The sequence below is a fragment of the Homo sapiens genome, chromosome 10 (genome assembly GCF_000001405.40).
Source record: "Homo sapiens chromosome 10, GRCh38.p14 Primary Assembly".
Classification (NCBI taxonomy): domain Eukaryota; kingdom Metazoa; phylum Chordata; class Mammalia; order Primates; family Hominidae; genus Homo; species Homo sapiens.
Genome location: NC_000010.11, coordinates 121,576,204 through 121,600,050, shown reverse-complemented (window position 1 = coordinate 121,600,050; position 23,847 = coordinate 121,576,204). Strand labels below are relative to the sequence as shown.

The following is a 23,847-nucleotide window of genomic DNA, read 5'->3' as shown; positions in this document are numbered from 1 at the left end:
TCAGCTGCATCCCTTTTCTGAGAACTTGAAAACATACTGCTATCAGAACAACCCGTGTGGGAGTGAATGGCTAAGTGTCAACCTGGGCTGAGGTGTCCGTTAATGTATAGGCTCTGGGGCTAATCCAGGTTAGAGGACTTGACCAAAAACATACCCTCCCACCAAGCATATAGAGGGATAATTTTGCTTAAGAACCAGTTTTTATTTTGTTGCTATCAAATTTCCAAAATACAATGTTATAGCCTTTTGCCTGAGGCAGTTAAATGGATTTCTTACTTGTGTGGCTTTTAAATAACTTGCATAAACGTTTTCTGTGCTATATTTGTGAATAAAAATGATTTTCTAATCATGTAGCACCTTGAAAAATATTTTTGTAAATGTTATGAAGGGTGCAATGTTAGTGACACAGGTGCAAATATGTTTCTAAATCCAGGAAAAGTCTGTTTTCCAAGTCAGGTTTGTTCTCAATGCTTCATCTATCTTCAGGCCTCAAAAGGATTCTAAAGCATTTCTGGGTTTAGTGACCTTTTCTAAAGAAAAATAATTAAGGTTTTAATCTATATGGTCTTGAACTTAAGCACGGCTGCTCAGGAGCTGGATGAATAAGGAGGGAGAAAAAGCATATTTAAAATAAATTATTCCGAAGACACGGCTTAGTGAAAAGGTAAATGGACATAGGAACTTTAACCAGTTACAGCTTGGTGTGCAGTTGAAGAATCAGATTTTGCATTTATGATTTTTAATCTAAGATTCAGAGGGAGGAATTACTTTGTTCAAGGTCTATTTATGGTAGAGTTGTCTTTAGACTCCTTTGAATTTCTTTTTATTAATCCAAACATATATTATTAAACACTTTTTTTTTTTGATGCAATTTTGGCTTTTTCTGAGAGAGCCACATTCAAAGTCAGGCTGTCCTAGTAGCCAGCTGTGTGGTCCTAGGCAAATTACTTAACCTCTCTGATCCTGTTTCCTTATCAGAAACTGGGAATAGTACTCTGCAGGGTGGTTGGGCAGATGAAATAGAATCACCTATGTAGTGTGACCCTCCCATAGTAGGGCCTCCATTAATATTCAGTTTTTTCCTCTCATTTCTATTGTTTAGAAGGACAGAAACATGCAATGTCCTGCGAACATTTCCAAGTGGCTTCCTCTCCTCCAAAAGCTTCAGCTGCCTGGCAACCCTCCCCGCAGTATCAAGCAGGCGCATTTTAAAGTCTCTTTAGCGGGAGGGCAGGGTTAGAGCCTTCGGTCATTTGTTTTCTAACTTGACATAAAACAACGTAACGCAGTCGCTCAGCGAGCCGTTGGCCAGCCTCGCTCGCCCGGGGAGGAGGGAGGAGGTGGCGCGGGGCGCGGGACCAGGCCTTATTCGGAGGCTGTCGCTGCATCCCTACGGCCGCATCGCGGCCGAGCCCTCGCCTCCCGGGCCGGTGTCTCCGGCTGCTCGGAGGCGTCGGGAGCCGCGCGGGACTCGGGGCGGCCCGGGCGCGCGGCGCTGATTGGCAGAGAGGGCGCCGCCGTCCAGGAAACGGCTCGGGTTTCAGTGGGGGCGTGACCCGCCGCGAGGAGGCGGGGGCGGCGGCGGCGGCGCGGGCGGCGGCTGGAGGAGAGCGCGGTGGAGAGCCGAGCGGGCGGGCGGCGGGTGCGGAGCGGGCGAGGGAGCGCGCGCGGCCGCCACAAAGCTCGGGCGCCGCGGGGCTGCATGCGGCGTACCTGGCCCGGCGCGGCGACTGCTCTCCGGGCTGGCGGGGGCCGGCCGCGAGCCCCGGGGGCCCCGAGGCCGCAGCTTGCCTGCGCGCTCTGAGCCTTCGCAACTCGCGAGCAAAGTTTGGTGGAGGCAACGCCAAGCCTGAGTCCTTTCTTCCTCTCGTTCCCCAAATCCGAGGGCAGCCCGCGGGCGTCATGCCCGCGCTCCTCCGCAGCCTGGGGTACGCGTGAAGCCCGGGAGGCTTGGCGCCGGCGAAGACCCAAGGACCACTCTTCTGCGTTTGGAGTTGCTCCCCGCAACCCCGGGCTCGTCGCTTTCTCCATCCCGACCCACGCGGGGCGCGGGGACAACACAGGTCGCGGAGGAGCGTTGCCATTCAAGGTAATCGCCGCGCAAGACGCCTCGGGGAGCTTCGCCAGCCGGGGACGTGGGCGCCACGGGAGCCCGGGACGCCGGGTGCACCGTCCTCCGGGCGGGGGGCGCGGAAGGACTAGCATTGTGGAGGACGCTCCGTGTCCTCCCTCTGTGGCTGCATAGGTGATGGGGGAGGTGGGTGCGTGCTGACGGCCGGCGTTCTGGAAGTTCTGCCTCTGCTACCCCCATCCAGATGCTGACATCTGCTTCTGGCGTTGACGCCCCCCTCCCTGTCAAACCCTGGCGGGCGCATTCCCGCTGACTGGGCGCGTTTCTCCGACCCCAGAGCAGACGGGCGGAAGGTTCGCCTGCCCGTGGCACAGCCCCGCAGGCCGGTTCCCGGGGTCATCTCCGAGGTGCCCCATCCGTGTGTCCTGGGAACTTCCGTACCATCCAGGCCCTGCGGAGACCCCTTTTTCGGGAGGGGGCCGCTGGGGTGGGGCCGGTGACATCCCGTAGGGGTGGCGATGGCCAGGGGTGGCACTGCTGGGGAGGCGACGGCTCCGGTGCCTGGGCGCCCCTCGCCCGCAGCCGCCGTCGGCGCTGGAGGGAGCGCAGTGCGCCTGGGGCTAGGGGGCGAACTGGACCGACTTTTTCTAGTTCGCCTGCCTGCTCTGCCGCAGCGGCTGGGAGATGTCGAAAGCGCAGGCGAGTTCTAACTTGCGCGCTCATTTTTTTCGGCCACGGGGCCGCGCTGGGGAAAAAAGCCGAGGGCCCTGCGTGGCGCTGGCTCCGACCCTCGCGGACCACGGACCTGGCGCAGGAGGCCCGCTCGGGGACCACCAGCCTCCGTCGCTCTCCTCGCACCCCGCTCCCTTGCAGACCGTTCTCCAGACCCTCCTTCCTTTCTCCCAATTCAATAAAACCTACCCTTAAAGGCAAACCTGCTTTCAAACTCAGGGCACCCATTATGTGTTTGGTGTGAAACGCTATCAACATTTAAAACTCCATTGTCTCCCTGGTCCCAAATCCCTGTAAATCTTCCACCGGGCTCGACTCATTTTCATCTGAAAAGCCTGTTTAGTTTGAATAGAAAAGCAATCAGGCGCCCCTCTCTCTTTCCCTGGAATGTCAATTAAAATGCAGATTTCTCTGAGCTCTTTAGCGCCCCGAGAAGGGGGAGAAAAACAGGATATTTCAGGCAAACAAATGAAAGAAGTGCTGCCCTGAAAGGGGGTGGTGGTGGGGAGCACCCCCAAGCTGCTCGCAAGTTCTGATTGGACGCAAGCATTAAACCGGGAGGGCTTTGTGGTCCTGGGTCAGTGTGTGTTTTTTGAGATTTCAATTTGTTGAGGAATTTCCCCCTAGCCTTGACCCCTTGACAGCTCCCGCTCCTACTCAGTGCTGGGGAGAAGTAGGGAGGCCTTAAGCGAAGAGATGGGTCTGCACTTTGGAGGAGCCGGACACTGTTGACTTTCCTGATGTGAAATCTACCCAGGAACAAAACACCAGGTGATCCCAGTGGCCGAGCCAGCAGTGGACAGATCACCCCTTAGGTGGAAGCCCAAAGCGGAGGGCACTGTATTGGTCTGCCTTCTTGGAGGGCGGGGGTTTTGGGAATGTCATGGTAAATTGAAGAGCCCAGCACAGGCCTGGCATGGGGACCGCTCCGCAGCCAAGCCCTTCCTGCTTGTCACTCTGCCTGTCTTTGGGGGCAGGCTTGTGCCGAGGTGAAAATGGACCGGGGGGCGGGCGGCCGAGAAGAGCCATCCATCAGAGGGAGGGTGACAACTCCTCCCGCGTGCAGGCTGAGAAGAGAGTTCCCTTTCAAGGGGAAAAATAAACACGCTGGGGCTTTCACTGGGGCTCAGACTCCAGGAAGGATTATGGTATTGAAGGCAGGAAGCCGGGATTGTGGCCGCCAGCGGCATGCTGGGCCTGTATTCCCAACACCGAGCCTGGGGACCTAATTATCCTGCCTAGGAGGTCGCACCATACTTTTGTCCACTGGTGTGAGGAACTGTGCAGACCTGTCGCCTTAGGTCTCCGCCTTCCAGAGTTTTGGGGAGGGGGCTGCCGTGGGGTTTGGACCTGGAAATGGCTGAAATGCAAATTTCTAGTGCCAGCTAGCGGGATGATGGAACGGCTTGAGATTCAGCGGAGCGCCCTGTCCACCTTTCTCTGCCTGGAGCCAAGGAGGCTCCTCTGGGCAGGGACAGGTGGGCGAGCAGGCCGGGGAAGGAGCCTGGGGTGAAACCTCTGCGAGGACTTAGGATTGTTCCTGAAGTCGTGTTAGAGGTAGAAAATTCCCCTGCATTCTGCAAATGCTTAGTAAATCAATGAGAATGTTTGTGTACTTTCCTCCCACATGTATGTAGAAATAGATCCGAAATTATCTTCTGAGGCTCTTGACTAAGAGGAAAGAAAAGTTAAGAGGAAAAATCTTTCAAGCTATCTGAAAGCACATGCACACACCGTGCACGCACACACCATGTACACACACACACCGTGCATACACACACACCATGCACGCACACACACCGTGTACACACACACACACTGCACACATACTTTTCTTGCTTTTGCTGTGAATCACACCGTTTCACCTGTGCTATCTTTGAAGCAGAGGTTTTCTTTATTCCTCCTTTGGAAATGATGTGGCATATTCTTTTCCCTCCTCCATTTTTGTCCTCAGTCAAAGCTAAAAGGAGCAGTTTTTATGATGAGATTTGGGGAGGCTCCAGCAGTGTTGAAATCCTATGACATAACTTGAAACATCGAGTGGGTACATAAAAAATGTAGAGTTTAGAGATTTTTGTATTAAAGGCCTCCCTGCCACCCCCAGTCTTAGAAAATGTGGTTCATTCCTGTGGTTCACAGAATCTGAAGCCTGAGATTGATGAGCCCCTTCTTGTGATTGTTTTAATCATTCTCTAAAGTTTGTGCATTTTACTGTACCCTTAGTCACAGAGAGTACTGAGTGAATTTAAAGTTGCTTGGAATATATTAAGCTTTCTTGGAAAATTCTCTTTCCCTTGGATCAAATGGGTGAACAGAATATTAAGTTGAGTGTCCTCTTCTAACTTATACTCTGAAAATTTAGCCAGTAGGTTTGCATATGGAAAGTTATTGGTCCAATCACATACCATGACTATAATTTACATAATTTACATCATCATTATTAATAAATTCCTGCATTATTCATCAGAATTTGCATCTGCTCAGTTTCCTCACCCTTCTACAGAGGTTGAAGACATTTAGCAGCCCTGGACTGCCATTTAGTCACAGGGGAAGGGAATTCAGGCTTCGAAGTCCTTTTTGGATCAGCTGCGTTGAATGCGCTGCAGTTGTGTTCACTCTTCGTAAGTGGCTGCTTGGCGGAAGACTGAAAGACACTTCTCCATTTGAAAATGAATCCTGACAAGTGTAAACTGGTGGGAATTTTCTGTAGCCTTCCTGGGATTCTTTTGATTTTGCTGGTCTCCTTTCTTCCCAAGAGCGACAGTGAGGGTGGGAGACTGCTCACCTCCAGCCCAGCAGAAATACGGAGCTGTGAGCAGACTCCTCCAACAGTTTAGCTTTCTAAAGCCCAGTTGGACTAAGAGAAGGGAACGAGGTTGGTTATGCCAACCCGAGCATTTTTAACTTGCTTTTGTAGTTGCCCTTGAAACTAAGGTCACGTTGCTTCTGCTCATTGAGGGCGGTGGAGGCGATAGTGGATAGTAGAAGAGAGCACACATTGCCTCACTGAAGTGGCTGCACGTATCTGAGTCCTGTAGCTACTGTTTTATCTCTGTTTCTTAAAAGTATGCTTTTAAAAAGATTAGCCTCACACATTTCTGTGGACCGGTCTGGTGGTATCACCTGGGACTCTGAGGTGAGGATGGAAGGATTTAGCAGATAATGAAAAAGAACTCTGTTTGCGCACATTTGAGAGGCTGAAAAATGGTTTTATCCCACTTGGGCTGGAGTGATTTGGCATTGGGGAAGATTCCCTGACTCGCCAATCTCTTTCCTTTAGTGACTGCAGCAGCAGCGGCAGCGCCTCGGTTCCTGAGCCCACCGCAGGCTGAAGGCATTGCGCGTAGTCCATGCCCGTAGAGGAAGTGTGCAGATGGGATTAACGTCCACATGGAGATATGGAAGAGGACCGGGGATTGGTACCGTAACCATGGTCAGCTGGGGTCGTTTCATCTGCCTGGTCGTGGTCACCATGGCAACCTTGTCCCTGGCCCGGCCCTCCTTCAGTTTAGTTGAGGATACCACATTAGAGCCAGAAGGTAAGTCATTTAATTTCACTTTTCAGGTTTGTTTTGGGATTTGTCTGGGGGCAGATTGTTAAGGCCTGTTTTAGAATCAGCTACCCTTGCATTGTAAATGGGGCTTCTAAGAGCACCAGATCGTGGTCTCTTGGCTCCCGGCAAGGCAGAGCTGATGAGAGAAGGTCCTTTGCCGCAGCACTGCAGGCAGGATGGTATAGTTTGGTGGTTTCTTGCTGTGTGTGTTTCTCTGTGCTGGGTGAGGGAGACAGCTGGGAGTTGGCCTTTATCCAGTGCCCGAGAGAGCTGTGGAAGGGATGAACCTTGGGAGGATGAATGTCATCTCTAGTCTCCCCCAGCATCATTCCTACTGCTTACAATGTAAAGAATTGCTATTTTCGGACAAGATGAACCACTAAAAGAAATTGCCAACATCTGAAATGCTGACATCTTATTTTCATTGTTTAAGGAGAAAAGAAGTTTCTGAAGTTTAGCACAGAGAGAGAGGCTTGACATCTCAGAATTTTTTTTTAGCCATTGTAATTCATAATACTTAAGCAATGCATCATCACAGAGTGGCAGATTCTAGTTTAGGTAAACTTGAAAGTGAATGTGCCAGGGGATCTCCTCCAGCTCCGAGAACCTCCAAGTATCACAGGGCATGCGCCGGTGTCACAGCTTTGGAAATTTAATTTTCAAGGTGTAAGTCCAATTACGAGGACTACATGAGGCTGAATTATTCAGCTTAGCAGATTTGGAACCTCTCTCCCAGCCCTTTGGAGACAACGTGAGCCAAGCCTCTACTTGGTGCTGCACTGAAATCTGTCATCAGTAGGGAATATTGGTAGCTGAGTTATTTTTCGAGTGGTAATCCGAGAATAAAACGGCAGATCCCAGCACTCATCGCCACTTAATGAACCTGTTTGTGGAGAGTCCACCTGGTGCCTGCCTGGCTTTAGGAACCCGCAGCAGTCCGAGTGGTGTCTGGGGTAAGCTGAGCTGCTCTGGGAACACATCTCGTGCGTGGGGTGAATGAACAGCACACTTACCCAGTGGGGTAGGCTGGGAGAGGACAGAGAGCCCAGCCTCCTTAGCTGGATCAGGACAGTTTAGGAAGGAGGGTTGCGTCCATCTGAGATGAGAGTTCTGAGAGACATGGGCTCCCCAGGAAGACCCCAGGCACTTGTCATTGAAGGATGAGGACCGAAGCACTTATCACCTGAAGCAATCGTGTGAGACTGGGGAACTTTTCGTTACACAGAGGGATGGCAGCTCTATAATTAACAGGTGTGGTGACATCTCCCTGCGTCTCTGGGAAGGGAATCTGGTAGGAGTTTGTGTCTGAGGCTTGTATAGCTACAGCTACAGGCCGATTATGGAACTGCCTCTTGGTGATTTGTGCTGGGACACCAGGATGAGTGTAATTTGCAGTGGTGATGCATTTTTACAGGGCTTTCATGTAAGAGGGAAAAAGTTCCTGGTTTCTGAAAGTCATGCCTGTACGTCTTTAATTTTGCTAATAATTAAAATGGATGTTTCCGTGATTGCTGGTTTTCCCTTGAGTGCGTGGCTCGGCAAAAACTGAGGAAGCTGAGCTGGGATTTCCTACGGTGTGGGCTTTAGGAGCAACCCAGGTTAGGGAAAAACTGTCATTTTTCATTTTGGCTTTTCAGGGCAGCGTTATTGTGAGTTTATTTCAACATAAAGTGTAAAATGGTCCCAGAGGATTTGTTTTACTGTATTTAATTCTTGAAGGAAGTTTAAAATTGTGTATACATGCAGGGAGGGACAGGTGAGGCAGAGGGAAGAAATCGTGGAAAGGGACGAAGTTCCCCGAGTGAGTCTTTGTGTAAGAATTTACATCCAACAATGTGGGTATTGTTGGAAGCAGGCCTGCTCAACCTGGGATCTGTGGATGCACTTATGGATCAGGAAGGAGGTCGATGAAGTTCTGGAAATTTTAGGTAATATTTTGTTAATGTCCTTTTGTGCATTTTTATGGGTTTATAGTTTCCATGAGCTATGAGTTCATTTGCATCCAGAATTATGAGATGGAAAAGAAAAGATGTCTTAGAGGAAGGTGCAAAACCTGGCAAAGAAGAGGCTTTGGAAAAGTATACAAGTCCCAGGCCTCAGTTTCCCTTTCTGTCGTCTGAGGGCTTAAGAAGATGATCTTTAGGGTCTCTTCATTAATAGTCATTGAATATTAATGTCCTCAGAAGTCTTCTGACTCTTCCACCAAAAGGTTGTTAGGAGATTTCCATTTGACCTGGACATAAAGAGCAATTAGCACAGGGGCTGGCATCCAGTAAGCACCGGGTGCATGGCCTTGTCGCCGTTGTCGCCAGGGAGCTGGGAACATGGGTCTTCCCAGTCCCGTGGGCTGGCTGTGCCAGGTGCCACAATGTCAAAAAACATCTAGGCTTTTGGAGACAGTTGAGAAGAAAGTTGTTTTTGGATGGAGGAGGCCCTTGGTGTTTCCAGGAAGCTGTGTTTGCTTTCTGTAGGGTCCCCACTTCCCCTCATCTGTTAGTCTAATACTGGCCACTGATTTGAGCCCTAAGACCAGTTCTTCTGTTGCAGGAGTTCGCTTTGGTGTCAGAGGTGATTAGGAAGGTCATTGAATTATAGATGAGAAAGGAGTTTTTAACAGCTGAAAATGGGCTCAGGTTTAGGCTCTGTGCTGGTGAATTGGAAGAGAGAGAGAGAGAGAGAGAGTGTGCGTGTGTGTGTGTGTGTGCGCGAGTGCGCGTGCGTGCGTGCGTGCCTGTGCCCCTGTCCATCAGTTCTCCATGATTAGAACTACTATAGCTTTGGTTAGCAGTAAGTTCCACCTTGACCTTCTGTGCACCAAGGTCTTATCTTGTAAGACTTTTTGGTTTGCTAATTTATTTGGAAGCTCAGTTTAGATAATGTCTATTGGATAGGAGAAAAATGTGACTGAGAAGTTCCAGGAAGAAGCCTGGGCCCTAACACTAGAGGGTCCTTTTCTTTTGGCCCCTCAGGGAAAGGTTATGTTTAGTCATCTTGGCTTTGTGCAATATCGTATCATATCATATGTCATATCATATATCATATATATCATTTGTCTTCTGGACACGTTCTGAAATAGTAGCAGTGGGGTTGGGCCCACTCAATTGACTTAAGAAAATAATCTCTAGAAGATTTTAGTTTTTAATATTTCAGATTAAATATGAGTTTTCCAGTTGGTCATTCATTGTTAATTTCCTTTTGGTCATTCATTGTTATAGGGCACCAGCAGAGGAGTGAAAACATGGTTATTGACTCGAAGGGGGGCAGTCCTCAATGCCAAGTACTATTCTGTTGATTAACATTATAAATATTTGAAGTCTAGTCAAGCTTGATTACCCTGAGAGGGGGCAACTCTTACTTTCAAGTTCTTCCTGACATTGTCACCTACTCTGGTTAATTAAGTCATTGTTGACATTAATGGCATCTTTGTTTACACCAACCCAGTAGGAGCTAAAATGAAAGGGCTTTTCAACCCTACACCCTTAATTACTTTCCCACCCTCCACAGAGTGTGACTCTGAAAAGTAACAACCTGAAAAAAAATGTAGTTTGTGTAGCAATTTTTTGTCAATCTTCTGAGAGGTGATGCTCTCCTGGACCAACGTGAGTTGGTCCAGAGTTCAGTAGCAGAAACGTCGAGGACAGGATCTACACAGAGACCTCCCTAAGTCAGATTTTTCCAGTATGGTTTAAGTCCTTTGTTAGAAGTATTGTAAATGCCATAATATTAACCATACGCATTTAATTGCAAGTTAAAAGAAAGGAAGAAAGAATATATCCGCATACCAAGAGTGAATGATTTAAAATAATCTTCTGTTTCGTATTATCTGCATCTTTGTTTTTCAATATGAGTGTTAATATTTAAGAGTTGACTGTAACTTGATAGTTAGCTTTGGAACAAGGACTTATTCTTGGTCAATTAAACCAAATACAGGCTTACGCAGTTAAATACACAATGAAGTACACATTCTTTATTAGTATATAAAGTGTTTCACAATTCATAGACCAAGAGCCATGTTTAATATTACTTATAGAGCAGAAATCTGGCAAGCCCAGAGAACTGGTACTTGTATCATTTTATACTGGCTCTCTCTGATTCAAATTTGGGGTATATGTGTGTGTTTCTGTTTTGTCTGTTTATTTCAACCAGTTAAAAGACAGAGCACTTACTATGCCAATGGCCCCGCATCAAGCCATAAGTAAAGACTTTATTCCTTTCAAGTCTTTCTGACCCAGTTGAGGGTGAGAATTCACAAAACCACAGCAATCCAATATGAGATGTTTTTAATATCAGACTTAACAAATAATTACATGGCTATGAAATAACTGGGGTCGTGTTTAAACTGGAAGTGTTTTGTTTAATGTTCGTAGTTTCAATAAAATGTATCCACTAGTCTTCCAGTTTGCAGACTGTTGTTTAGGTGTTTGTTTAGCCAGGGTAATTGTTAAAAACTCCCTCTAATCTAGCTTACCCTTACATTTCCATGGAAGCGAATTTTAGTCATTAAAGGAAAACATGGGAAATTGATTTTTGGGTGCCTGGCTGTTAAGCTAGGTAGGAAATATAGCTGGTGTGCTACTCTCCACTGTACTGGTCCGATTCTCGCCAGGGGGACATCTCTGTAGGCAGTTCAGAAATTATTTTTTGGAAGTTTTTTAGGCTATTCCACAGATAATTCTGATCCAGTAGGTTTTATGCAACTGTGCAAAATGCTTATGGTCTCTATTTTTTTTTCCTTGAGAGATGATTTTAGCCTTTGGTTTTTTGTTTGTTTTTGTTTTTTGAGACAGAGTCTTGATCTGCCACCCAGGCTGGAGTACAATGGTGCAATTGTACCCTCACTGCATTGTCAAACGTGGCTCACTGTACCCTCGGACTCCTGGGCTGAAGGGGTCCTCCAACCTCCTGAGTAGCTGGGACTACAGGCCTGGATAATTTTTAAAAATATTTCGTAGATATGGGGTTTCGCCATGTTGCTCAGGCTGGTCTCCAACTCCTGGCAGCCTTGGCCTCCCAAAGTGCTGGGATTACAAGTGTGAGCCACCACACCTGTCCTAGCCTTAAGTTTTGCATTTTTTTCCATCTTTTTGCTGTATCCCATATGATTTAGAGATTTTTGCTGTATCCCATGAGATTTAGAGATGGCTCTACTTTTTTTAGCTTTCCTAGCATTGAAATGCTTGGTGTTGCTAATCATACCCCATCTTTACCACACCATCTTCCTCCCTGACTTGCCTTCTTAGTGTAGTTTGGTCAAGAACTTGAGGCCAAGTTCTTTTTTTTTTTAAATTTAGCTTTTATTTTAGGTTTGGGGGTACATGTGAAGGTTTGTTATGTAGGTAAACTCGTGTCATGGGGGTTCGTTGTACAGATTGTTTCATCACCCAGGTATTAAGCCCAGTACCCAATAGCTATTTTTTCTGCTCCTCTCTCTCCTCCCACCCACCCTCCACCCTCAAGTAGACCTCAGTGTCTGTTGTTCTTTTCTTTGTGTTCATGAGTTTTCATCATTTAGCTCCCACTTATAAATGAGAATATGCAGTATTTGGTTTTCTGTATTTGGTTTATTGCTAAGGATAATGGCCTCTAGCTCCATCCATGTTCTTGCAAAAGACATGATCTTGCTCTTTTTTATGGCTGCATAGTATTCTATGTTGTATATGTACTACATTTTCTTTATCCAATCTGTTACTGATGAGCATTTAGGTAGATTCCATGTCTTTGCTATTGTGAATAGTGCTGCAATGAACATTTGTGTGCATGTGTCTTTATGGTAGAATGATTTATATTCCTCTGGGTATATACCCAGTAATGGGATTGCTGGGTCGAATGGTAGTTCTGCTTTTACCTCTTTGAGTAATCGCCACACGGCTTTCCACAATTATTGGGCTAATTTGCACTCCTACTAACAGTATATAAGTGTTTCCTTTTCTCTGCAATCTCACCAGCATCTATTATTTTTTGACGTTTTATTAATAGCCATTCTGACTTGTGTGAGATGGTATCTCATCGTGGTTTTGATTTGCATTTCTCTAGTGATGAGCTTTTTTTTTCATATGCTGGTGGGACGTATATATGTCTTCTTTTGAAAAGTGTCTATGTCCTTTGTCTACTTTTTATGTGGTTATTTGTTTTTCTCTTGTAAATTTAAGTTCCTTATAGATGCTGGACATTAGATCTTTGTTAGATGCATAGTTTACAAATATTTTATCCCATTACGTAGGTTGTCTATTTACTCTGTTGATAGTTTCTTTTGCTGTGCAGAAGCTCTTAAGTTTAATTAGATCCCATTTGTCAATTTTTGCTTTTGTTGCAATTGCTTTTGATGTCTTTGTCATGAAATCTTTGCCCATTCCTATGTCCAGGATGGTATATTGCCTAAGTTGTCTTCCGGGGTTTTATAGTTTTGGATTTGACATTTAAGTCTTTCTTCCATCTTGAGGTGATTTTTTGTATATGGTATAAGGAAGGGGTCAGCTTCAATCTTCTGCATGTGGCTAGCCAGTTATCCCAGCACCATTTATTGAATAGGGAGTCTTTTCCCCATTGCTTGTTTTCATCAGTTTTGTCGAAGATCAGATGGTCGTAGGTGTGCGGTAGGTGTGTGGCCTTATTTCTGGGCTCTCTATTCTGTTCCATTGGTCTACGTGCCTGTTTTTATACCAGTACCATGCTGTTTTGGTTACCGTAGCCCCACAGTATAGTTTGAAGTCAGGTAATGTGATGCCCCCAGCTTTGTTATTTTTGCTTAGGATTGCCTTGGCTATTCAGAGGCTAAGTTCTTTTAAGGAGAGGTCTGATTGAACAAGATGCTGGACAGGTCATTGTGGTGATCCTTCACGTCTTGAAGATGTCTCCTTCTGTAATAGACAAAAGTCACACTTTTTACAAGTTTCTCTTTCCTCACTGTGATTTGTATGTGGTAGCTGACTTCTATTTATATAACTTCAAGCTCTTACCATTTAAATATTTATACACAAGTATGAATCATTGGGACAAGCCATGGCCATCCTTGAAGAGTGTGTGTCAAGTAAAATAGGCGTGCTTTAGATTTTCAGTAATTTTGGTTTTGGGAAACCGGTACCATGGAAGAGCTTTCAGATGCTGAATGTGTAATTTACTCCACTTTGGAATACTGTAAGTAATTCTGCGCCATTGTGGACTTTGGCCACATCATGCCACTCTCAAAAACTTCTGATTCTTTTTGACAGTACCAAGTCAGGGGGCTAAGCTGTTGTATATTCTTTCCTTTAACCCCTTGTCTAACTAAAGAATGGTAAATTCCAATTCATTTCAGAATGGAATGCACACATATAGAGTTTCAGGTTATGCTGAATGTGTTTTATGAGGAGGCTAAAAATAGCTTATAAGGAAAATGCTGATAGATTCAAGAACGAGAACAAGGGATGTATTTATTTGTATGATTTATGTAGCGCCTTTCTTGGAGAGGACTCAATTCTGAGCTCTAACGTTAATAAACTCTATATCAATTATCGTGATTATTTTCGAACCCTTGAGCTCCTATATTACTATATGTGACCCATTTGTATACCTGACAGTTTACTGTTAAATTTTCCATAGTGACCAGTTGTAATATTTTAAAAGTATCCAGACATTGAAAAGGCCAACTGTGTGTATCTATGGTGTGTGTATGTGCTCAGGGGGGTGTACTATAAAATGAATGTCAAGATCATTGCAATGGTTAAGTTTAGGTTTTAAACTCTTTGAACACCCTTAAAGTTCAGATTTTCAGTTGACAGTGGGATTGCCCCCAAAGATGTGTGGCTGCCTTAAGGAGCCTTCTTGTCCTGCTAAGCCTCCTGGATTTCCACCAATGCATGTTGCATTTCTACCTGGCTGCAATAGACGCACAACTGAATATATATCGTGGACATTTATAAATGTTTCAAATTTAAAACCACTCAAATTTTTAAAAGAACAAGAATCTTCTGTGCATTTAATCTAAATTCTGTATCAGCCATTCTTAAAAATAGAATTGAATAAAATCATTTTGGATGGCATGTGGTATGCTTTCTGGAGACATAAACTAACAGAGGGAACTTGACCTTGGGAGGTAGGTTTGAATCTCTCTACTATCTACTGATGCTGTGATTTCAGAAAAGTTAGATAACCTCTCTGAGCCTCAGAGATAGTATCTATCTTGAAGGGTGAATGTGCAGATTAAATGCAAATGAAATGTAAAGCCCCTACTGAATTTCCTGGCCCAGAGTAGGTGTTCATTAAATGCTGATTTCTTCCCTGTCCCACTTCCTGTCAACATTTCCTGGACCAACAAGATGTTTACTCTACAATATTACCAATATTTCCTGGACCAATAAGATGTTTACTCTACAGTGTATAGTGATAATTGTCTGATGAGAAGCATTTACATTAATTAAAATGTAAAACTGGCTCTAGGCCCTGGATTTGTCCAACCCTTTTTATTATCTTGGGCTTTTGCAAGTCCCATGGATTTTAGAAATGGGATCATCCTGCTGCTTGCAGTCCAAATGGTTCAAGGTTGAAATTTTTTTTCCCCTCTGTTGAAAAAAGTCAGTTGCAGCTCTGTAATAATAACAGCAGACACATACTTCATGAGGAACAATGTATTTTGGCAAAAGAGTTTTCTGTTTGAAGCTTCAAAATACAAAATACTCTGCCACATTGCCATTAGGCCCGGCGAAGAACATTGGAGAGGGGTTATGGAATCGGTTGGGGTGGGGTGCGGGATGGAGAGGGGTTATGGGATCGGTTGGGGTGGTGCGGGATGGAGAGGGGTTATGGGATCGTTTGGGGTGGGGTGCGGGATGGAGAGGGTTATGGGATCGGTTGGGGTGGGGTGCGGGATGGAGAGGGGTTATGGGATCGGTTGGGGTGGTGCGGGATGGAGAGGGTTATGGGATCGTTTGGGGTGGGGTGCGGGATGGAGAGGGGTTATGGGATCAGTTGGGGTGGGGTGTGGGATGGAGAGGGGTTATGGGATTGGTTGGGGTGGGGTGCGGGATGGAGAGGGGTTATGGGATCGGTTGGGGTGGGGTGTGGGATGGAGAGGGGTTATGGGATCGGTTGGGGTGGGGTGCGGGATGGAGAGGGGTTATGGGATCGGTTGGGGTGGTGCGGGATGGAGAGGGGTTATGGGATCGTTTGGGGTGGGGTGTGGGATGGAGAGGGGTTATGGGATCTCTTCGGGTGGGGTGCGGGATGGAGAGGGGTTATGGCATCGGTTGGGGTGGGGTGCGGGATGGAGAGGGGTTATGGGATCGGTTGGGGTGGGGTGTGGGATGGAGAGGGGTTATGGGATAGGTTGGGGTGGGGTGCGGGATGGAGAGGGGTTATGGGATTGGTTGGGGTGGGGTGCGGTGTGGTGTGTTCTGCTTTTGGCCAGGCTGGAGAGGTGAGCTCCATAACATGGTATGGTCATCCTTGCCATGTTTGCCTGTAGTGACCTCCCCTGAACACTCCTAGATGAGATTTTTGTCTGCATGGAAGGGAGCTCAAGGAAATTGTGATGGGACCCACAGTACTGAAGTGGACAGGAGCTGAACAAGCATTTGCACATGATACCCCTATGGAGGTTACTTGGTAGGACAGGCTATGAAGTAGGGGCAGTATGGATGAGGTCACGTTTCTTTAGCCCATTCCTTGAGATGATGATGATGATGATGGTGATGATGATAACTGGCTACCATTTATTGAGTGCCTGTCATGGTTGGACTCTGTGCTAGGTACTTTAACATATATTATCTCTCATCTTAATAACCCAGAACATCTTGGGTTTTCCTGTTCTTATTTTATGGACAAGGTAACTGAAATTCTTGGGGATCAAGTGACTCCTCCAGGACCTCATCATTAGTGAGTGTGGGCCCAGGTCTTTGGGTGAATGTGTTGGTGTAAGAAAAATTTCCCTTCTTCCTGAGCAGGAGGATTTTTTTTTTTTGCTGGAGAATGTGGTGACCCCTCATTCTTTCCTAAATCTGTCGTTTGACTATTAAACCTGTTAGGGACACTGCTGGTTGATTCTGTTTCTTTCTCACACATCCATACCGAATTCTCCTAAAGACATTTGAAGAAAAATTCCAGACAATAAAAATGTTTAATGATTATACTTTGTGATTCTTCTAGAATGGCTTCTGGTGGCATGTGACTTATTGGAAAGAGGCTAACCCTGACTGCTGCCAAGGAGACCAATGGGAGACTGGGTCCCAGTTGGTGGTCCAGGCTGCGCCACACCGTAGGAGTCCATAACAAGAAGGGCTGGCCTCTGTTGCCCGTTGATGCATGAGCCATCTCAGCAGAGCAGGCCGTCCCCAGTTATTCCTTGTCCCAGATGCCTCTGCTGGTTTGTCCTAGTGCCTGCTAACCCTCAGCTGTTGCCACTTGGATATTATGTCAAGCTTTTCTTCCCAGAATTTCTGATTTACGACTGGGTATGAAGTCAAGGCCTACCTGCATAGACAGACCCCTGTACTTGGGACTCCCACGAACTGTGGTCATGGAAACAAGCACCAAGGACTACCTGACCCTTCTAATGTCACTTTTCTGCAGAGATTAGGAGGAGAGACTAAGAAAGCCAAAAAAGAAAAAATTCCAAGAATGAAAAGGCCAAAAGCAGAAACACCTACTCTTCTTCCAGTCTTGGCCAGAAAGGGTGTCCTTAGGGGAAAAAAAGAGGCCAGGGAATGGAGCCCATTTTTAAAGCAAGCAAAGATCAGTTTGGTATTTAAAAATAAAAAGTGAACTCCAGTACCAGCTAATGTGTAGGTGAATCGAGGCTGGTTTAGGCAGCTGAACTTTGTTCTTGGCTACCTGTACAGCAGTTGCAGAACACTCAGGGGTTCCAGGCATTTCCAAGTGGGAGTTGAGTTTTGGAGGAAAGTTGTAGAATTCCTTTTTCTTTTTTTTCTTTTTTTGTGAGACAGAGTCTCTTGCTCTGTCACCCAGGCTGGAGTGCAGTGGTGCGATCTTGGATCACTGCAACCTCTGCCTCGCGGGTTCAAGCGATTCTCCTGCCTCAGCGTCTAGAGTAGCTGGGATTACAGATGTGCACCACCACGCCCGGCTAATTGTATTTTTAGTAGAGCTGGGGTTTCACCATGTTGGTCTCGAACTCTTGACCTCGGGTGATCCACCCACCTCAGCCTCCCAAAGTGCTGGGATTACAGGTGTGAACCACCGCACCTGGCCGTAGAGTTCTTGACTAGGAGATGCTGCAAATTTCCCTCTTAAATTTGCAGCTCCCCGTGCGATGACAACTTTCAGAGCTTGGCAGAGGCAAGATGGTATAAACATGATTTTTAGATTGCAGGGTAATTGCTGTGGTTTCTTTGAGTTTTTTCATCCATTTGCTCCCCAAATAATTTTTGAGACCTACTATGTGCCAGGTTCTGTGGGGATGGAATAGCAAGCAATGAACAGTTGAGTGGGGGAGACAGGCTCTTGTCAAATAATTGCAAAAATGAAGGGCTAGGACTGGGTGCAGTGGCTCACGCCTGTAATCCCAGCACTTTGAGGGGCCGAGGTGGGCGGATCATGAGGTGAGGAGTTTGAGACTAGCCTGGCCAACATGGTGAAACGTGGTCTCTACTAAAAATACAAAAATTAGCCGGGGGTGGTGGCAGGCACCTGTAGTCCCAGGTACTTGGGGGGCGGAGGCAGGAGAATCTTTGAACCTGGGAGGCAGAGGTTTCAGTAAGCTGAGATCACGCCATTGCATTCCAGCCTGGGCGACAGGGTGAGACTCTGTCTCAAAAATAAAAAAAAAAATCAAAATAAATAAACAAAAATAAAAAATGAAGGGCTAGGTCCAGTCAAAGGTGAAGATTCTGTGAAGGAAAAGCATGGGCCGGAGGCATGTGCCCCATGTTTAGGAGTTCCCAGGGACTGGGACTATGAAGCTGCTGCTGCTGCTGCTTTTTTTTTTTTTTTTTTTTTTTTTAAATGCAGGGTCTCTCTCTGTTCACTGTGTCACCCAGGCTGGAGTGCAGTGGTGCAATCACAGCTCATTGCATCCTGGACCTCCTGGGCTCAAGCGGTCTTCCCACCTTAGCCTTCTGAGTAGCTGCGACTATAGGCGCAGGCTGATTTTTCTTTTTTCTTTCTTTTTTTCTTTTTTTTTTTTTTTGGTAGAGATGGGTTCTCACTTGTTGCCCAGCCTGGTCTCAAACTCCTGGGCTCAAGCGATCCTCCCACCTTGGCCTCCCAGAGTGCTGGGATCACAGGTGTTAGCCACCACACCTGAGGCTGGTCTTCCCCTTAAGGAGGTGGCACCCACCTGGATTCCCCAGCAAACCCACCTGCATTGCAAGGTTGACCCTCATCAGTACCAGCCACCTTGCCTGCTAGGTTGACCCTTGTCCAGTGAGGTGATTTTCCAGGGCCTAGCCTCTCTGCTGTCCCTTGCTGGCTTCACCTGTTGATGTTGATGGAGGTGGAGCAGAGGCCGTTGAGTGAATGCGTGCAGCTGGGCTCAGAGGCCCCTCTTCTCCCCTCCTGTGAGGTGCTTGCCCTTGAAGGTGTGGCGAGTGAGGAGGCCGGTCAAGGGCATCCCGGCGGCCTCCAGGCCGTATTTGAGTGGGTCATTTCAGCCTGCTTCCTATCTCTTTTCTGTTACTACCTCTAATTGGCAGAGTTTCTTGCCAGGTCAATGTGGAGGCAGAGAGATGGCCGGAGGGCGGCCAGGGGAGTCAGGCCAGGTGTGGGCAGGATGGGATTCTGCCTCCTCCCAGGTGCCTCGCCTGGGGGATGCCCTGTCCCAGAAAGCCTACATTCGTGGGAGCCGGCGCACAGCCCTTCTGAGATCTAAAGCTTCCCTCTGAATGCTGCTTTGGAGGATTGTGAGAGGTAGTGACTCTTCAAAGTTTGTTTGTTTTCTTGAAGCTTTTACCTCTATGCAAATATGCGGTTTGGAGCAGGGAAGAAAGGTTAACTGTGATGGCGCCGGCTCTTAACGTGGAATGTCCTGAATTAATGTGGGTTTCAGTCCTCTGGCTCAGGATCCCCTGAGGGAGAGTTTTTCTTTCCTCTGCAAAACACAGGAGAAAAGTGATCCCTGTGGCTCCGACCTGCCTTCCTTGGGTCCTGCGGTGCAAAACCAGCTGGGACCGTGTCCCGCCCACCCGAAGGCAGTGTGGGGAACCTTTCCTCCAGGTCATTCCCATTCAGCTGATTGCTGCCGGCTCCCCAGGCCACAACTCTGTGCCTTCAGGCGTCTGCACGGGTTTCGAGATGCTGGCCAGGCCTGAACTTGGTGAGCCTCAAGCAGACCGTTCAAACCCATTCAAATGAGGAAGACCATCTGTTTCCCAGTCTCCAGCTGCTGCTGCTTCATTTGCAAATGGCTGGGATGCTGCTGAGGGGATCAGGCGGGGACACATCTGCAGACTCTGAAGGAGTGTTGGAACCGAGATCCTGCTGAGAGAAGAAAGGCCGAGCCCTTTAAATCAACTTGCCAAACAGTACCCCCAGAAGGTCCTGAGTTGAGAAAGCAGGAGGCAGCCTTGCCCTCCTGGAATAACTCTTAACCTTCCCTTTTCTTTTGTAGCCTTGGCCACTTTAAAAGTATTTCTTTATTCAGAAAGTGCGCAGTGTGGGAGGGCCTGCTCTATGGGCTTGGGGGAAAATGTCAAACGGGATCTGGACATCTATCTGACCTTTCAGGGCCATACAGGGCAAACGTATCCGCTGGAGTATGCACCATTTATTGAATGTTTACATCAATATCAGGGAGGTGAGCTTGTCCCAGCAGCAGCTTCTAGGAGCCACAGGTAACAGTAAGTGTGGCAAGGTGACTGTCCCTGAAAACCTGCTTCTGGAATGAGTCAGGCTTTAGGGTATGCTCTCTGGAATGCAGGCCAGCCGCCCCAACTCGCAGTAACGCAGGCCCTTAGCTCTGTGGACTGCGTGAGGCACAGCTGTGGGGACTCTTGCCCATGGTTTGGTGTTTGCAGGGTTATTCTCGGCATGCTGTGGGGCTAGGGTAAGTTATCCGGCTCCTGAGCCCTGCTGGGGTTCTCATCTCAAGGGAATTCTGTGGTGTGTTACTGTGCCCCACATGCAAATATCAGCTACTCTCAAATGTGTTGGATGGATGAATAGTAGAAGGTATTTTAAGAAGCCACAGGCCTCTTTGTAAATTAAACAGGCATCATACATGGGTGTTGATAATGATGAATCTCACAAAATCTTCAGATGTTTAGTCTCTGGGAACATTCCAGGAATCCTCATTTAGGTAACTTATATGTGATGAGACCTATTTGTTCACTTGAAAGAAAACCTGTTTTGAAGTCAGAGGAATGCGAATAGAGGCTCTCACATGGTTGGAAAAAGCAATCTGCAGGCCAGTTACGCCCCGTAAACAGGAACCCAGGACTGCCCTCCTGGCCAGGGCTGAGTTGCAGGATGGGGACCCCCCACTACCTCCAACCGCCCGCCAGGATGAGGAGTGCTTGCTCTCAGACGTGCCCCTCACTTTAAATATACAGAGGCCTTCCTAGGCAGCCTTTGATTGTGTCCTTGTGGTGACCTTGCCCTGCAGCAGGCAGCACTGGAGATGTTTTTCTCTTCTCTAAAGCATGACTCTGAGGCTCAGCGGTGTGAGGCTGTCCAAGCTGACACGTTCACTACTGGCAGAGGCGGGTCTCAAAGTCTCATCCTTGGACACTGGAGCTGAACTTCTTGTAGTGTGGGTCTTGGACCAGCAGCATCAGGCCTCACCTGTGGGAAATAAAGAATGTCAGCCCGCACCTGCAGGCCTACTGACCCAGAATCTTTTTTTGTTTTTTCCTTTTGAGACAGACTTTTGCTCTTGTTGTCCAGGCTGGAGTGCAATGGCACAATCTTGGCTCACTGCAACCTCTGCCTCCGAAGTTCAAGTGATTCTCTTGCCTCAGCCTCCCGAGTAGCTGGGATTATAGGCTCCTGCCACCAGACCTGGCTAATTTTTGCATTTTTAGTAGAGACAGGGTTTCACTGTGTTGGCCAGGCTGTTCTCTACCTCCTGGCCTCAAGTGACCCACCTGTCTTGGCCTCCCAAAGTGCTGGGATTACAGGCGTAAGCCACAGCGCCCAGCTGACCCAGCATCTTTGGAAGTGGGAGCAAGGAAGCTGTCTTAAACTGACCACGTGGTTTTACGCACAGTAAAGTCTGAGAAACATTGCATTGATCCCTACTCCAGTCCCTCTCCGTACACCTTTTGGGTGGAGTGGGCTGGGGACGCAGACTGTCTTTGGCTGTGCATGTCCTAGAGGCTGAACAGGACGAGATGGGAGCAGTGCAGTGTCTTAATGGGAATCGGGATTTTCACGGAGGAGCTGTTGGAACTGGGCTGAATAGGAGCCTGCCAGGCAGCAGAGCTGGGTGGGCTTGTAGGTAGAGGGAACAGTGCCCATGTGGACAGGTAAGCCAGAGTGTCAGAGAGAGGGATGTGGGGCTTGGAGCAACCAAGCCTCAATGCGCCATGATGTTCTTTGGGTTTTATTCTCTCTGACTTTGGAGTGGTCTGTGCCTTTTTAAAAGAGTAGAGATCATGTGCTTTTCAGAAGATTCCTCTGGGGGTCTGCGGTGGCTACAAGAGGCGCACCATGGGTGATGGGTTAGGCGCATTGCAGAGGTCTTGTGGAGGACTGGAGGAGACCTGTGGGATGCAGTTTTGCCTGTACTTTCTTTCAGAGCTAAGCTTTCTATCAGGGATAGGCCTAATAGGTGAAGGGGTGTGGGGACTGATCAGAGGAAGGGCCAGAGGAAAAGAGGGGCTTCAGGGCCGACTTGGAGCTTGGGCGGCAGTTCAGTGGTGTGACTCCCTTCATCGTGTAAGAGAAGAGGCTGGTGGAGGAGGAGGAGGTTGAAGGTCACTTGCTTGTTTTGGATACGACCTCTGTAGACATCCAGGTTATGTATTTCCTCCCCCCGGGCAGGTGGAAATATGAACCTACAAGCAGGGACTTGAGTGGCATCTGCGGGGAGGAGGTGGGAAAAGCCACACGTGCCCAGGAGACTGGAATGCAGGGAAAGGACCAGAAGAGCCAGAGGTAGAATTCTGGGTATATCCATGGATACAGGAGGGGTGGCAGGGAAGGAGAAATTTCCTAGAAAGGCGAGAAGTCCTCCTTGACATGTTCCTGTCCATAAGAACACATACGCACATGTACGCACCAGCAGGAAGCAGAATGCTAACCGAAGATAATTAACCCCCAATTCTGTGTTAGGGATTGAGAAATAGACCAGGAGCCCTGCCCCCTCCTCTCTCATTTCCTGACCTTCCACACTGAGAAGACCTGGCTAGGCAGCCTTGCTTTTTTTCCTGTTTAGCGGAGGAGTGAGGATTTCAGCCGGAAGGTCTTTCTGATGGCAGATGTGTAAGTGCCAGACATTGTGCTGGGTGCCTTCTGTGTCCTATCTCATTTATTATTGTTCCTGCTCCGAGGACTTGCCTCAAGGTCATACGATTTGTAAGTGGCATAGTCTCGGTGTCAGTGACAGGTCTGTTTGGTGTCTCTCTCTCTCTCTCTCTCTCTCTCTCTATATATATATATATATATATTTTTTTTTTTTTTTTTTTTTTTTTGAGATGGAGTCTCGCTCTGTCATCCAGGCTGGAGCACAGTGGCGTGATCTTGGCTCACTGCAACTTCCGCCTCCCAGGTTCAAGCGATTCTCCTGCCTCAGCCTCCCGAGTAGCTGGGACTATAGGCGCCTGCCACCATGCCCAGCTAACTTTTGTATTTTTAATAGAGATGGGGTCTCCCCATGTTGGCCAGGCTGGTCTCGAACTCCTGACCTTGAATGATCCACCTGCCTCAGCTTCCCAAAGTTCTGGGATTACAGGCATGAGCCACCATGCCCGGCCTTGGTCTGTACCTTTAACACCCCCAGCCTTTTCTGAAGAGTCACCAGAGAAGGGACAAAAATGAGGCCATAGCCTTACTGCTAAGGGACCATGAGAGGCTTGGGGTATAGCTGTCTGTTGAGACAGGTGCTTTACTACTTTGTAAGATGAAGAGAGCTGCCTCTGGCTGAGCACTGTCATTAGGACTCAGGGAATGGAAGTGTTTTGAGACCAGAGGGTTCAGTTTCAGGACTGGAGATCACAATGCATTCATTTTACAGAGTGACAACTCTGTAGGGCCACTCTTCACCCTAAGATTGGGTCATTAAAGGCCAGGCACATCCTATTCACTCCTTCACCTCCTTGTGAGCCCCCCACATGCCTTTTGATGAAAGGGTTTTCCCCAGAACAGTGTGTCCCAAGAAGCCCTGAAGGGCTGGAGATGTACCAGCTTTCTCTGCTATGTCCAGCAAGTGTATTTTCAGAAGGTAGGAGGCTCGGGCTGGGCTGGCCAGGCAGCCAGGCACACAGACTCCTCATTGTACATCCAAGCCGGGGCGTGCAGGACTTCAACATAGCTTGTAACGTAAGTATCTATTTCCTGGGCGCTACATGATCTAATGGCCTGTCGCTTTGGGAAATGCTTTCTGAACAAAAGACTCGATTTATT

At 47.7% G+C, this 23,847-nt stretch overlaps 1 protein-coding gene across 22 annotated transcripts in view, besides 8 other annotated features; it reads left to right on the top strand.

The window, feature by feature from the left end:
- FGFR2 (fibroblast growth factor receptor 2) overlaps nucleotides 1,593-23,847 on the top strand; it is a 120,129-nt gene continuing 97,874 nt past the window's right edge. For 13 of the 22 annotated variants that reach the window (NR_073009.2, NM_001144918.2, NM_001441091.1 and 10 more), the window contains exons 1-2: nucleotides 1,607-2,089; nucleotides 6,084-6,342. Coding sequence is in view for 21 of the 22 variants with exons in the window: in NM_001144918.2 (NP_001138390.1) it covers nucleotides 6,234-6,342 (109 nt within the window). In the remaining variant the exon portion in view is untranslated. Of the gene's footprint in view, nucleotides 2,090-3,405; nucleotides 3,575-5,792; nucleotides 6,343-23,847 lie in introns of those variants that run through there. The other 9 variants (XM_024447891.2, XM_024447890.2, XM_017015921.3 and 6 more) reach the window with 4 other exon arrangements.
- Nucleotides 2,401-3,136: an enhancer, noted in NCBI's record as "OCT4-NANOG-H3K27ac-H3K4me1 hESC enhancer chr10:123356429-123357164 (GRCh37/hg19 assembly coordinates)". NCBI's record gives its function as "activates a minimal SCP1, AML or CMV promoter by ChIP-STARR-seq in naive and primed H9 embryonic stem cells {active_cell/tissue: H9 hESC(naive and primed)}" and the evidence as "EXISTENCE:reporter gene assay evidence [ECO:0000049][PMID:30033119]".
- Nucleotides 3,137-3,872: an enhancer, noted in NCBI's record as "OCT4-NANOG-H3K27ac-H3K4me1 hESC enhancer chr10:123355693-123356428 (GRCh37/hg19 assembly coordinates)". NCBI's record gives its function as "activates a minimal SCP1, AML or CMV promoter by ChIP-STARR-seq in naive and primed H9 embryonic stem cells {active_cell/tissue: H9 hESC(naive and primed)}" and the evidence as "EXISTENCE:reporter gene assay evidence [ECO:0000049][PMID:30033119]".
- Nucleotides 5,618-6,146: an enhancer, noted in NCBI's record as "H3K4me1 hESC enhancer chr10:123353419-123353947 (GRCh37/hg19 assembly coordinates)". NCBI's record gives its function as "activates a minimal SCP1, AML or CMV promoter by ChIP-STARR-seq in naive H9 embryonic stem cells {active_cell/tissue: H9 hESC(naive)}" and the evidence as "EXISTENCE:reporter gene assay evidence [ECO:0000049][PMID:30033119]".
- Nucleotides 18,258-19,036: an enhancer, noted in NCBI's record as "NANOG-H3K27ac-H3K4me1 hESC enhancer chr10:123340529-123341307 (GRCh37/hg19 assembly coordinates)". NCBI's record gives its function as "activates a minimal SCP1, AML or CMV promoter by ChIP-STARR-seq in naive H9 embryonic stem cells {active_cell/tissue: H9 hESC(naive)}" and the evidence as "EXISTENCE:reporter gene assay evidence [ECO:0000049][PMID:30033119]".
- Nucleotides 19,037-19,816: an enhancer, noted in NCBI's record as "OCT4-NANOG-H3K27ac-H3K4me1 hESC enhancer chr10:123339749-123340528 (GRCh37/hg19 assembly coordinates)". NCBI's record gives its function as "activates a minimal SCP1, AML or CMV promoter by ChIP-STARR-seq in naive and primed H9 embryonic stem cells {active_cell/tissue: H9 hESC(naive and primed)}" and the evidence as "EXISTENCE:reporter gene assay evidence [ECO:0000049][PMID:30033119]".
- Nucleotides 19,037-19,836: a biological region, named in NCBI's record as "Sharpr-MPRA regulatory region 287".
- Nucleotides 19,542-19,836: a silencer, noted in NCBI's record as "tiled region #287; HepG2 Repressive non-DNase unmatched - State 3:PromF, and K562 Repressive non-DNase unmatched - State 22:ReprW". NCBI's record gives its function as "represses a minimal TATA promoter and a strong SV40 promoter by Sharpr-MPRA in HepG2 and K562 cells {active_cell/tissue: HepG2 | K562}" and the evidence as "EXISTENCE:reporter gene assay evidence [ECO:0000049][PMID:27701403]".
- Nucleotides 20,142-20,436: a silencer, noted in NCBI's record as "tiled region #8577; K562 Repressive non-DNase unmatched - State 22:ReprW". NCBI's record gives its function as "represses a minimal TATA promoter and a strong SV40 promoter by Sharpr-MPRA in K562 cells {active_cell/tissue: K562}" and the evidence as "EXISTENCE:reporter gene assay evidence [ECO:0000049][PMID:27701403]".